The 13,829-nt window shown below is 38.3% G+C and overlaps 1 pseudogene, besides 2 other annotated features; it reads right to left on the reverse strand.

Annotated features, from left to right (window-relative positions):
* On the reverse strand, positions 1 to 709 carry SRSF3P5 (SRSF3 pseudogene 5; annotated as a pseudogene).
* Positions 765 to 2,378: a mobile genetic element, noted in NCBI's record as "direction; reverse".
* Positions 961 to 1,357: a non allelic homologous recombination region, noted in NCBI's record as "2q12.3 proximal recombination sub-region, recombines with the 2q12.2 recombination sub-region". NCBI's record gives the evidence for it as "EXISTENCE:nucleotide sequencing assay evidence [ECO:0000219][PMID:23657883]".

The raw sequence follows: 13,829 nt of genomic DNA on the forward strand, positions 1-13,829 counted from the left end.
TCAAGAGACAAACACATATGAACAGCTAAAACATCTTAAAAATGCACCAAGCTTATGAAGTCTCAAACAAAACTTGAATTTTCTGTACATACTCCTGTCAAATGAAGTAATTTCTTGTACACCACTTCTCTTGCCAACTGGTCTTCTTTGTTTTTTTTTTTTTTTTTTTGACCTAGATCGGCTACGAGACCTAGAGAAGGATCTGGACGGCTTGTGATTTCTCTCCCGAGACAGAGATCTCTCTCTTCTATCTCTAGAAAGGGACCTGCTCCAGCTGCGAGAGAGGCTTCTTCTTGGAAATCTGCGACGAGGTGGAAGACTCCTCCTATGATAATCATCTCAAGGACGAGGACCCCAAGAGGGAGGTGGGCTACGATTTCTACTTCTTTTATCACCATTCGACAGTTCCACTCTTACACAGCGGCCACATGGTGTTCTTCCATCTAGTTCTCAGACCACATCAGCTGCATCTCGGGGATCTTCAAATTCAACAAAAGCAAAGCCGCGAGGGTTTCTAGCAACCCACACGCTTTGGAGTGGTCCATACTAGCCAAAAGCCCGTTCCAGTTCGGTCTTGTTGCCATTGTTTCCAAGATTGCCTACATAAACCTTACAGTCCAATGGACAGGAATCACGATGCATTTCGACATCTAGGGTAAAAAATGCGGAGGCTCAAATCCATACGCTCCGATGGGTCTTCCCGCTTTCCTCCGGCCCAGTACCCAGCGATGCTCTCGCTCACCCGGCGTCCACAAAATGGCAGTCCATTTTTATTTTTATTTAAGTCATTTGCATCTTTTCTCTTTTGTTTTTTGTCAGTCTAGATAGAAGTTTGTCAATTTTGTTTCTCTTTCCCAATAAATTATTTATTGATTTTTTCTATCGTTTATTGTCTCTACTTTTTAAAAATCTCTGCTCTAATCTTTATTACTGTCTTATTTCTGCTATCTTTGGGTTTCATTTGCTCTTCATTTTCTAGTTCCTTACGATATAAAGTTGAGTTATTGATTTGAGATCTTTTGTAATATAGACATTTACAGCTGTCAACTTCCCTCTTAGCCCTGCTTTTTTGTTGCATCTCATAAGTTTTGATATGTTGTGTTTTTATTTTCATTTATCTCAAGATACAAATATTCTTTGTGGTTTCTTCTTTGATGCATTAGTTTTGTGAGAGTGCATTGTTTAATTTCCACGTATTTGTGAATTTTCTGGTGTTTCTTCAGTTATTGATTTCTGACTTCATACCATTGTGGTTAGAGAGGATACTTTGTGTGATATCTATACTTTTTAATCTATTAAAACATGTTTATGGTGGTCTATCCTAGAGAACATCCCGTGTGTGCTTCAGAACAATGTGTATTCTATTGTTATTGGGCTGAGTGTTCTGTATGTGTCTGTTAGGGCTAGTTGGTTTATTTTGTTGTTCAAGTCCTCTAATTTCTTATCTTCTCTCTGGTTGTTTTATCCATTATTGAAAGTGGAATATTGAATTCTCAAACTATTACTCTAGGATTGCCTATTACAATTCTGTCGTGTTTTTGCTTCATATATTTTTGTTATTAGGTATGTAAATATTTATACTTGCTATATTTTTTTTCTGTTTTAAACCTCTTATTAATGTCCTTCTTTGTCTCTTGTAACCTTTTTGGATTTAGAATCTATTTTATCTGATATTACTATAGCCACCTCAGCTCTCTTTTGGTTACTATTTGCATGAAATATTTTTTACCATCCTTTCACTTTCAACCTATTAGTGTCTTTTGTCCTAAAGTGAGTCTCCTGTAGATAATAATTAGATCCTGTTTTTCTGTATCCATTTTCCGCATCTCTGTCTTTCAATTAGAGAACTTAATCCATTTATACTTAAAGTATTTACTGATAAGGAGTAAATATTATTGCCATTTTGTTATTTTTTTTCTATCTGCCATTTCTTTATTGTCCCCTTTTTCTTCCATCATTGCCTGTTTTGTGTTTAGCTGATTTTTTTCAGGGAAAAATTTTTATTTTCTTCTTATTTCCTTTTGAGTATATTGTATAGATATTTTCTTTCTAGTTACCATGAGGATTCTATTTAACTTATTAAAGCTACAACATTCTATTTTGAATCTATACCAACTTAACTTCAGTAGCATACAAAAACTCTGCTCCATGCATCTTTGTCTTCTGCTTTTTGTTATTGATGTCCCAAATTACATCGCTATATATTATGTGCCCAATAAATAGGTTAATACTTGTTTTTTGCATTTGTCTTTTTAAAGTGCAGAAAATTATTAATAAAAATGGAATTATAAGTGAAAATTACAATAATACTACCTTATAATTGCCCATGTATTTATCTTTACCAGAGATCTTCATTTTTTTCATATGGCTTCGAGTTAATTCAAATATAGATGTATTTATTTAAGGCATGTTTCCTACCACCAGCACTGGGCACATGTTCAGATTGGCAATCAGATCCATAAGTCTCAATGGCTTTAATTTAGCACTGCATTTACTTAGCTGTACAGAGAATGAAGAACAGAAAATACAGTATACCCAACATCTTACAGCTCACTGGGAGGCCCAGCAGTACCCATGCACATAGTTTCTCATCCCTTCACTCACCCACATGCAGAGCGTGCACAGTGACTAGAGATGAGACGAAGAGCCAGGCGTGGTGGCTCACACCTTTAATCCCAGCTCTTTGGGAGGTCAAGGAGGGCAGATCATGAGGCCAGGAGTTTGAGACCAGCCTGGCCAACATGACGAAGCCTCGTCTCTACTAAAAACCAAAAATTAGCCGGGTGCGGTAGCACGCGCCTGTAGTCCCAGCTACTTAGGAGGCTGAGACAGGATAATCACTTGAAACCGGGAGGCGGAGGTTGCAGTGAACGGAGACCACGCCATTGCACTTCAGCCTGGGCTACAGAGCAAGACTCCATCTCAAAAACAAAAACAAAAACAAAAACAAAAGAGGTGAAGGTGTATGTGGTTCATATTGACAGAGGGAAGTCCCCGCCTTGGTTTCCCATGAGTCTTTTATATTCTCCTTGTGATGAAGGCTCCAGGCTTGTGTGCATTCCCAGGGCAGGAACAGTCCCACAGACCAAGGGCTTCACAGTAAACAAAGTAGGTGACCAGTTCCCAACATACATTATTCCACATTGAACTTGATACATTTCCAAGGAAACAGTGTTGTGAGAAGGCGGCCTAGGTCTGTTCAGGATCTAGGCCCACAATTAATTAATACTTTACTCACAGCATTCAGAAGGGAAAAAAGAATAATATATACACGTATGGCCAGGCATGCTGGTTCACGCCTGTAATCCCAACACTTTGGGAGGCTGAGGCGGGTAAATCTCTTAAGCCCAGGAGTTTGAGACCAGCCTGGGCAACGTGGCAAAACCCTGTCTCTACAACAAATAAATACATAAATAAAATTAGCTGGGCATGGTGGTGTGAGCCTGTGGTCCCAGCTACTCGGGAAGCCAAGGTGGCTTCAACCCAGGCTGGGTTGAAGACGATGTAGAAATGTCTGCCTGACAATCATATATACTTAAGATAAATGGGAGGATACTCTTGATATAGACTCCCCCTTAGGCAACATTATATTGTGATCATTCTTTGTATCTGTCTCTGGATGATATTTGATGACACGGATTTTAATGGCAGCTTGTATTCCTTTGTCTAATGTTTCATAATTTACTTGGCTAATCTCTACTATGACATCTTAAGTATTACAATTTCAACTACTATAAATGCATAAAATAACGTCAATAAATATTCTTGAATATAAATCTTGTTTTGTGTCTCTAACTATTTCCTTAGGATATATAATTCAAAACAGAATTACCGGGTAAGATGGTCTAAAATGTTTTAGGTCTTTTCATACATATTGCCAAAATGCCCTCTAGAAAGATGGTTCCATTTATATTTATAATCCCACCCTTGCTACCACTTAGTATTAGAATTATTTTATTTTAAATTTAGAAATAATATATGCATATGATTAAGAAATTTAGAGTCCCATTATTTGATTTAGAGTCCCATTATTTTGATAAATTCTGCTTTCAGTGCATCTGCTGATTAACACTGTAAATCTATGTAACATGTTTTTAACTCCATTTCCTGATTTATCAAATTTCAATTTCAATTGTCTTTATTAATGTCTGTGCTATAAAATAAGTAAAGTAGCTGAATTAGTCACGGTTGAATTCTCCAGAGATACAGAACCAATAAGATGTATAGATAAGGGAGATAGATACATAGATAGGTGGATAGATGATAGATAGATAGATAGATAGATGATAGATAGATAGATAGATAGATAGATAGATAGATAGATAGAGGAGAGACAATTTATTAGAGAAATGGTTTACCTGATTGTCAGACTGAGAAGTTGCACAACAGGCTGTCTGCAAGCTGGAAAATCAGGGAAGCTCGTAGTGTGGCTCAGGACAGTTCTGAAGGCCTCAGAACCAGGGAAGCCAATAGTGTAACTCTCAGTCCAAGGTTGAAGGCCCAAGAAACTGAGAAGCCCACTGGAGCAAATTCCAGAGTCCAAAGGCCAGTTTTGATATTTAAAGGCAGGAAAAGAAGGGTATTCCAGGTATAGAAAAGACAGAGAGCAAATTTGCCATTATTCTATCTTTCTGTTCTATTCAGGCCTCAGCTGATCCGATGTGAGGGTGGGTCTTCTTTACTTAGTCCACTGATTCATATGCCAGTCACCTCTAGAAGCCCCCTTGCAGACACCCGGAACTAATGCTTTACCAGCTGTCTGCATATCTCTTCATCAGTCAAGATGGTACCTAAAATTAACCATGTGGTAGTTTGGCATACCTATATTACCTCCTCCCCACAACTTTTTCTCATTTTTTTAAAATGTTATTATATCATTATAATTTGATCTTCTAAAATGAAAAGTTTTTACTTTTATTTTTTTGAATTTTATCAAATTTAGGCAGAATCCTTGATCTTTGAGTAAGTTTGTTCACAATCACTTCTCCAACTCTTCCCTACCATAAGTCCTTTTACTTTTCTCTCTTTCTTCTGTCAACTACAGCATCGCTTCTACTCCAGAGAGGCCATGAAAGTGAATAGAATCTATCAGACCAATATGGCAGATGCTGCAACTTGGATATAGTGAAAAATCACAAGAACAAGGCATGAAAAGCATAATGTAACATTACTAAAATAATATTGAAAGTCTCATTTTATTGGTAGGAGGGTTTCTCCACCTCAATACTATTGGCATTTTGGACCATATAATTATTTGTTGTCAGGGACTGCGTTGTGCATTGTAGGATATTTTGCAGTGTCCCTAGCCCCTGCTCAGGGACCCTCCCAGCTGTGACAACCAAGCATATCTCCAGGCACTGCCCAGTGTCCCTGTGCATATTGCCCCAGTGGAGAGCCGCTGTTCTATAGGTGTTCCCCAGTAGAACTTCGTCTGCACTGCCGTTTTAATTTCAGTGGGAAGAGTGGTCTGACCTGAAAGCACAATGGGAGCATATTCTCATTTGCAGGGCAAGTACAGATGATACGGTTACACAGCGGGTGATCTAGCAGGGATCTTCTTGTAGTGATGAGATTGTGAGCTTTAATCTTAAGGGGCAGATTTGTGCTTTTCCTTTTGAGGCAGAACAGATTGTTTTTGTTGTTTGTTTGCGTGTGTGTGTTTTTCTTTCCCCATGCATGTTGTGGATACTTAAGTTCTCCATTTCCCTAAGGAATATTCCAACCCAAAGCCCTAAGCAGCAGTTCTCGCATATTTAAGTTCCCTTTCAGTTTATCTGCGATATTTACTTCTTAATGCTTTGGTCTTTCCTTATAGAGTCCAGCGCCACTTTCAGCATTTTGAATAATTCAAGCACATTTCTTTAAAATTGCTTTTAGATCGCTCTGAAGTTAGAGCTCATTGGTTAGGAATTCAGATGGTGTTGCATTTTTGCTTTTAATTTTTGACTCTGAGCTTATCTTCCATGTGAATCATTTTTTGCAGAGTCTTGCTAGGGTCTGGTGATGAAGATATTTGAGTAGGGAAGTTTTTGCCTCTCACTGGGCACTGTGAGTTAAATCAGTTTTAATAATCAAGTATTTAAGGTTAATTTCTCAGCTTATGGTGTTCTCACCCTGTACAAAATTAAAGACTAAATCCTAAGATCATGCAGAACACAAATTTGAGTGTCTGGGTTTTGTTGCCGTTGGCACTCTTTCCAAACCTGTGGTCCAAGGCTGGCAGCATGCTACATATGGCACCTCTGGACTGGTGAAAACAGTTTTGTTTTAGTCCTCCTTTCATGGGCATGACTCCTCTTTCCAGCTGCTTCTTACTCAGGGGCCTCAGTTACATTTAATTTAGAATCCGGGGAATACAGCCTTAACTCTTCTACAGAGTGAATATGAAAACTCTACCTCAAGACATAGGAAAAATTCCAGTGTCTTTTTTAGGTAATGGGTAATTTCTGGCACCTGGGGATTTTCTTTTCTTATCTTCCAGCTCAGCTATGCTTCTTATTTTGCTTTTATTTTGCTTATTACTTTTTGCTGTCATAAATTATGCAGCTCGTCTCTATGTTTAGAATGGAGGTGGGAGGCCAGTGTTGCACAAGAATCGAGTCTGGCATGTTGACTCAGAGACTCTGGCCAGCACCACTTTGCCTGGTGGGGAAGGGTGCCCTCAGTGCAGATTGAGACCAGGTGCACGAAGAGTGAGACAGGCAGAGCAGGGACAGTGAGAGGGAAAATAAGCAGGTGTGAAGGTCTTCACATGGCAACAAAAAACTCATGCCTTTGTTTCTTTGTAGGACCAGAGGTCAATGGAAATTTTTAAGTATTAGCAGTGCATGGCCAGAATTATTTTTGAAGATATTCTGGCAGTCTGTAAGATAATTGATGATAAGGAGTGTAAAACATCTAGTGAGAAAAACAAATTAGAAGGCAGATGGTAGGTTAAGCTGAGATTATATGATAAGGAAGATCATTAATGCAGTAGTAGTTATAATGGATAGCAGGCTAAATTTAGGAAAAGTTCCTGACGTAGACTTGCAGTATTTGGTCACTAATGAAGAATGAGGAAAAATAGAGCTTGGGAGGATACTGAAGTTGCCATTTAGCAGGTCTCTTAGTCCATGCAGACTGCTATCAAAGAATATCATACAATGGGTGGCTTATAAACAACATATATTTATTTCTCAAGTTGTGGAGTCTGAGAAGTCCAGGATCAAGGCATGAACAGGTTATATATCTGGGGAGGGCCTTCCTCCTGGTCACAGGAAGCCATCTTCTCCCCATAGCCTCACAAGGCGGAGAAAGTAAACAAACTATCTGGGCCTCCTTTATTAGGTACAGATCCTATTCTGAAGGCTCTGACCCCATAATTTAATTACCTCCCAAAGGCCCAACCTCCTAATACCATCAACTTGGAGATTAGGTTTCGCCATGTAAATCTGGAGGTACACAAATATTTGGTCCATGGAAAAGGTACAATACATGAAGTCATGAAAAACTAGCAGGTCAGATTTGGATGAGGCTGTACCATACCCAGAAATCTGTCTAGTGGTCACATGAAAATGGTGCTCAAATAAAATAGTCAAAGCTAGAAACATACATTGAGGAAATGTGAGGCACACAGAAATAAAGTGGGACAGGTGGACCACATCTCTAGATTATGGTAAAGCAACAAGACATCAGAGCCAAGATAAAACATGTGAGGATCCCAACTGTTAAGGAGCAAGTGAGGAAGGAAGAACAAACAAACACAAATGAAAAGTAACAGCTAGAAAGTACAGAAAGAGAATACAGGAGACATGGCAGCGTTGAGGAGAAGCTGCATGTTCTAAAGAGAGAATCGATCATCAGCACGCACTGCAGAAAGTGTAATAGGAAAGATACTGCAAGTAAGGAACACATGGTCAGCATTTAGATGTACTGAACCATTTTATTCCTTAAGTGGGGGAGTACTGAAGAAAATATGATAAAATATTCACACAAGTTATACTCTGGATGGTTCACTTGTGGATATATTATGTTGTATGCTTCCTGTACTTCCTATGTGTCTAGAAATATGCAATGTGTCGTTATTAAAATTTAGTAGAAATTTAAAGTGAGAAAATTCAGCTCCTGATTAAGTTGGGCAATTAAAAGAGCTTAGCTACCTTATTAAACGTCTCTCTGCAGTAGTAGTAGGCACACATCTCAGGTCACATTGGATGGAAGGAACACGCTGGGGAGGAGGTGAGGACCAAGAAGACAGTCTATTCCTCTAGAAAGTCTGGAAGTGCAGGAATGACTGCAATTAGAGTAGTTGCCTGAGGTGGCAACAGGATTGAAGGAAGAGTTTTTAAAATGTTTAGCATGGGTCACCGGTTTGTGGACTCATAACAGAAAAAGAGAGATTTAAGATTTAGGAAGAGGCACAGGAATAGTCACTGATGAGTCCTGGAAAACATAAGCCTTATTCAGGTTAATAATTATAAGCCACTTGGGAAATTTTTAAGTGCAGTATTCAAATTATCAGTTACTACTGAGCAACGGTTCAAATCTAAACACCAGTTTTCCTGGACACAGAATGTGTCTTAAATAGAGATTTCCTATCCAAGCTTTACAAGGGCAAACTCCACAAAACTCACTCTCAGAAAATGCCCAACTTGCCCTAGGGGTGGACCGGTGAGAGCACCTTATTGTTTCCCAAATCTCAAAGAGCCAGGGAGATAGCAGGCAGCAGGCTGATGCTATGTGCAGTAGTGATTGATTGCTGTTTAGTAAACCCTTCTGTAAATACAGACATCCAAATTTCTAATAATCTCAGAAAACAGATAAGCAAAATGGATCTTTAAGACCTCTTTCAACTGTAATTTCATCAACATGTAAATTTTTATTAAATCTAAGATACAGTAAAAAGAGTCTAGTTTTAATAATTAGTTTAATTGGTTTCAAATTGTTTGTATGTTTGGCATAAAATTTTCAACTCAACAAATGGAAGGAAGCTAGATATAGCTTAGCATCCAGAGAACATTAGCTTTATCTTAGCTTTTTCTGCATTATCAATGACAAACATTTTTGAACATCAACTATACGTATATGAAGCACTGATCTAGGCATAGCAAGGATTAAGATAATAATACATCTGCATTCTAGGAATTCACATGCCAGCAGAGGAGACAAGCAGATGCAAAGCCATCTCAATAAGAGCAGAATGTGGGCTGAGTGTGGAACTAGTTTGGTAAAATTTTAAAATGGAAATTTTGTACTCATTTTACATTTTGCCCCAATAACAAATAGGTAATTTTAGATATAGAAGTGAGGAAAAAGTAAGAATACATGGGCTACCTGTAAATCTGCATATCATCCTTGAGATGAGAAAGCTTCAAAAGGCAATGGCATTTGCAGGGGCCGAAGTGCACCAGACTCAAAACCTGGACCTGAATTTGTGATTCGTGTCCCACTCTGCCACTTTCTACCCTGTGTAAGCTTAGCAAGGAAATTTAATCTCTCCAAGTCCCTGCTTCCTCATCTGTAAAATGTGGCTAGTGATTCCTACCTCAAAGCTATGCTAAAGATGAAATGAGATAATGCATTTTGAAACTGTCTTACAAATGTAAAGCTTTATATAAATGTTAGTTACACATACACATGAAGGGAGTCATAAAAAGAAGAATGTTGTTAAATATTGAATAACCTAAATACATCTGCAGAGAATATGTATCCTACGTGTAATGTAAATACTCTCAGGAATAAAATATTCATTAGTTTAATAAAAGCAATGAAATCTATGCCCTAGTATTCCTCCTCATTAGTAACCCCAGAAATGATACATGACTTTTGATTTGATATGATTCCATATAGGAGATAGTATGTTTAATCATCTACATTTTAAATTTCAGTTTTAGATTATTAGGATGGGGGAAAGGGTTTTTTTTTCAAATATGTTTCACATTTTTATAAACCTAGACATAGCCAATAAAACTACAAAGCTTCTAGCAAAGAAAACACATTTTCCGCTATGAGATCATAAAAATAAAATATTGATTACACTGGGTAGTATTTTAAATTAACTCACAGTGCTAGATTTAATCACATTTTATGATTATATGAATTACTGTTTCTCTTTGCTTGCTTTTTTTTTTCTCACTAAAGACTACACGTTTTAAAGTTTCTATCTATCATTTCTGCACAGAAGCCACAATTAGTTTACTTGTATTTTAAGTGAACTCCACCTCCTGTGCCTAAGAAAGATAACAGTATATCAAACCAATAAGCCACAGTGGTAGAGTCAACAGAAAATTCAAACCAGAATGGGTCAAACATGAAGGGATACATGGAGGACAGTTGTGTGGATCTGGCTATGGGTTCTGATTTATAATAATGGCTTACTCATTTCTGCAATGTACTAAATAGGCTTATGGCTTTTCATGGTTGAAATGAAAGGATTTGTTACATATTACTTGGAAAATGTAAAACATCTAGAAAGAGTATTAGGAATGCATACATTTGCTTTCTAGATCATAAAACCAACATAAATAATTTAGGCCAGACTGGAAAACTGTAACTCACTGTTCCCTAGCAAGGCCCATTGCTTATCCATATTTGATGGAACGTACATATTTAATGAAAGAGGAACAGTATTCCATTGCACACTGAAATGAAATGCTGGTTGTTCTGTAATTAAAGGGAAAGGAGAAAACACCAGGTTTGCTTTTCACAATTCAGCTTCCAGGTGGTGACTCTTGCCTGAGGGAGAGGCCTGCCATTTTCTCCTGCCTCAGTTCTTTCCATTTCCTCTTAAAGCTGAGAGGCAGAGGGCAGGAACCGTGTTCGCTTGCTCACAGTCTTTCTTTAAACAGAACTCTCTGCAGATATTTAAAGCCCATTCCAGATGTGTTTGCCTCACTACCCCAGGGAGATTAAAGAAGAGGCCCAGAGGACTTTTTAATCTATGGGCCAGTTTTGTATACTTTCGTAGAAGGCTTTGGCCTATATCTGAGACAGAACTGGGCAAGGCTTTGCAGTGCCGGGATGTGAAAGGAAAGAAGAGCACATTTCATCCAGACTACTCATTTCTGTATTCGCATAGAGAGAGACACACTGAGATCATGCATTTTGCCTGAGTTTGAACACAGAGAGAAGAGATGCACAGGGAGAAGCCTGAGAAACAAAGCAAAGAACAAGGAACATTGCTTTGTGGCTTGCTCATGCTCAGAATTTAACTGTCCAACATGTAGCCCTCTGGGTAAAAATGCCTATGTAGCCAGAAAGATCCCACAAACCTACAAAACCCCTAAAAAGTCATATGTCAAGGCTTGATGAATCATTTATACCTTGACATGTATTAACATAAGGCTGCTTGCTGTGTTTTAGGAGAAATGAGCTACAGAACAGATGAGTCTTTCTGGGAAAACTTACACAGATCCAGGGCAAGGAATAATACTCCAAAAAGAACAATCAGTGATCACAGTATATATTGGCTGGTATCCCAGTACTTACAGATCCGTACTGGGGACACAGGCCCTAGGAATGTGGGGTGGAAGGAGCTCTGATTGAAGGGGTCACAGAGTAAAACTTTAGAACCAACTCAATATACGTTTATTTCATACATAATGGCCTTCCTGTTACAATGCAGGCTATCAAATCAATATGTCTAAATGATTCAAGAGTAATGCAGACTGGAATATTGGATTGCAGAGGGCAAACCTAGAGCTATTAGGATGAGAGAGAGAGAGAGAGAGAGGGAGAGATATTTCTCTCTGTGGGTACCTAGGAGAGGAAAAGAAAGGAGATACATTGAAGAGAAATATCACCTTCTCAGAATCTTGCCTAAAGTCAACCATGTCACTACATTCAGAGTAAGTACAGTCATTGCTATTTATTTGTTTATTTTTTGAGAAACAGAGCCACCCTACCATTTTCAGATTCCTTTTCAGAGAGACAGAGGTGTAGGGACTGTTGAATGGGCAGGCTCATGGGCAGGCTCAGCGAAATAACAGAAGGGAACTCAAATCTCAGGCACAACTCTGTGGCCAGAAGCATTAAGATCTCTTTCTTTTTAAAATATAAAGATTGAGTCATCCACTCCCTAAAAGGGATAAGGGGGAGGATTTGGCTATGTAATTGGCACATTGCCACATTAGCTCATATGGTAGATGAACAGAACTATATGCTTTGATTCCTAGCAATGTTCATGGCTTAATGCCAACTTCAAAACTTTAAAAATGCTATTCTACTGTCCATAAGAGGAAATTTGGGAGACCAGTAAGGAATTGATTTTCTCGGGATATTTCCAGTGAAAACTCAGTTGAAAGGAGACGAGAAGAAACAAAATAATTATTTGTGAATGTCTTTAATTGACACAAAAACAGAAGACATCAAATTCAATCAGCAATCAACTCCTAGCCAATGAATGCATTTACTAAATTATCCGTAATACATTTATCCTCAAGATGAGGGCCTGGAAAAACAAGCATTCTAATTTGCTTCACCATTAGATTTGACATTTGGGCTCAAAGTTGTCTTTTAAAAGGTACAGAATACTAACCTACACAGATATTGAGTTTTCTGTGTAATTTCTGTCTTAGTTTCTTTGAAGCCTTTTCCTCTGCCTCCCTCTACTGATTCAAATGCAGCAAAGCAGAAGAAACCCAAGTAACTGGTTTGGCTAAAAGTTTAAATTGGAAGAAGAAAAAATACAGGGAACTCCAGGCTCCTCACGCTAAATGGCAAGGTAACTTGCTCGTCAGTCCTATATTTCTCTTAGTTTGGGCATTATCTTTATCTTCTGTTTTGTGCATTTTTTTTTTAGAATACCAATAATGAGATCTTTAGAAGTAGTGTAGAATAAATTGGGAATATCCAGTCAAGATACTACAGTAGAGCAACTATGATCAGCACTGGTCAAGCTTTTCGGAGACAGAGCTGGCTCTTCAGAACTGGGTGGTTTTTCCTAGGAATGCAGGAAACGTGATGCCTATGCCCCTCTAAAAGATCAAGGGAACGCAGAGAAGAGACGACACAATGTCAGGAAATCGTGGCCCCTGCTTTCTGCCAAGCTCCTCAAGATAAGGACAAATCTTACAGGAACAGAAGAAGCTGAACTACATGCCAATCACATTCAACAAGTTCCTATCAAATGTCTGAGCTACAAGTTGACAGAAAGGAAAAATGGAACACAAAAGCACTTGCATTATGCACTCATATTACATGTGAAGTGTGTGAGTGAGAGGACGGGTGAAAATGTCCACTTTAAATGACACTAGGAAGGCTTCACTAAAGACATGTTTACAAGCTCTCAATTATAAGCACCTTAAAAGGATGGGTTTCCCAGCACAGAATCAGAGATTACAGTGGCATCATGGAGATAAGGGTGGAGGTCTACAGCAAAACAAGACGGAAAAGCTTGCTAGGGGTAGAGATGTTGATAGCATCAAATAATATTTCAGTGTTATTTAATTACAGTTATCATGTGCCATGGCTTTACACATTAACTTTGTTTATAAACTGTGATAGTCTTCAAATTATTCAAGGGCATTCCGTGTTATACGTCCTGCCATACTGTCATTGAGAAACACCATGATTCTGATTTTTAGTACACTTTCACATTTACTTACGCACCATTTATCTGTCATATATATTGTACAGAGGCTTTCCTAAGCCTTCAGAAACAAATTAAAAGTGACCTTTACTACCAAGACATTCAGTCTAGCAGAGAAGTCACAAATATATTTCATTAATAGCAATACTATGTAATAAGATAGAAGATAAAAAGTAAACACAGTGGATATGAAAACACACAGAAGAGAAAACACAGGTGGAGAGGGAACAGCGGGGAAAAACACAGGGAGTTTCCCTAGATG

This window comes from Homo sapiens, chromosome 2 (genome assembly GCF_000001405.40).
Source record: "Homo sapiens chromosome 2, GRCh38.p14 Primary Assembly".
Taxonomy (NCBI): Eukaryota; Metazoa; Chordata; class Mammalia; order Primates; family Hominidae; genus Homo; species Homo sapiens.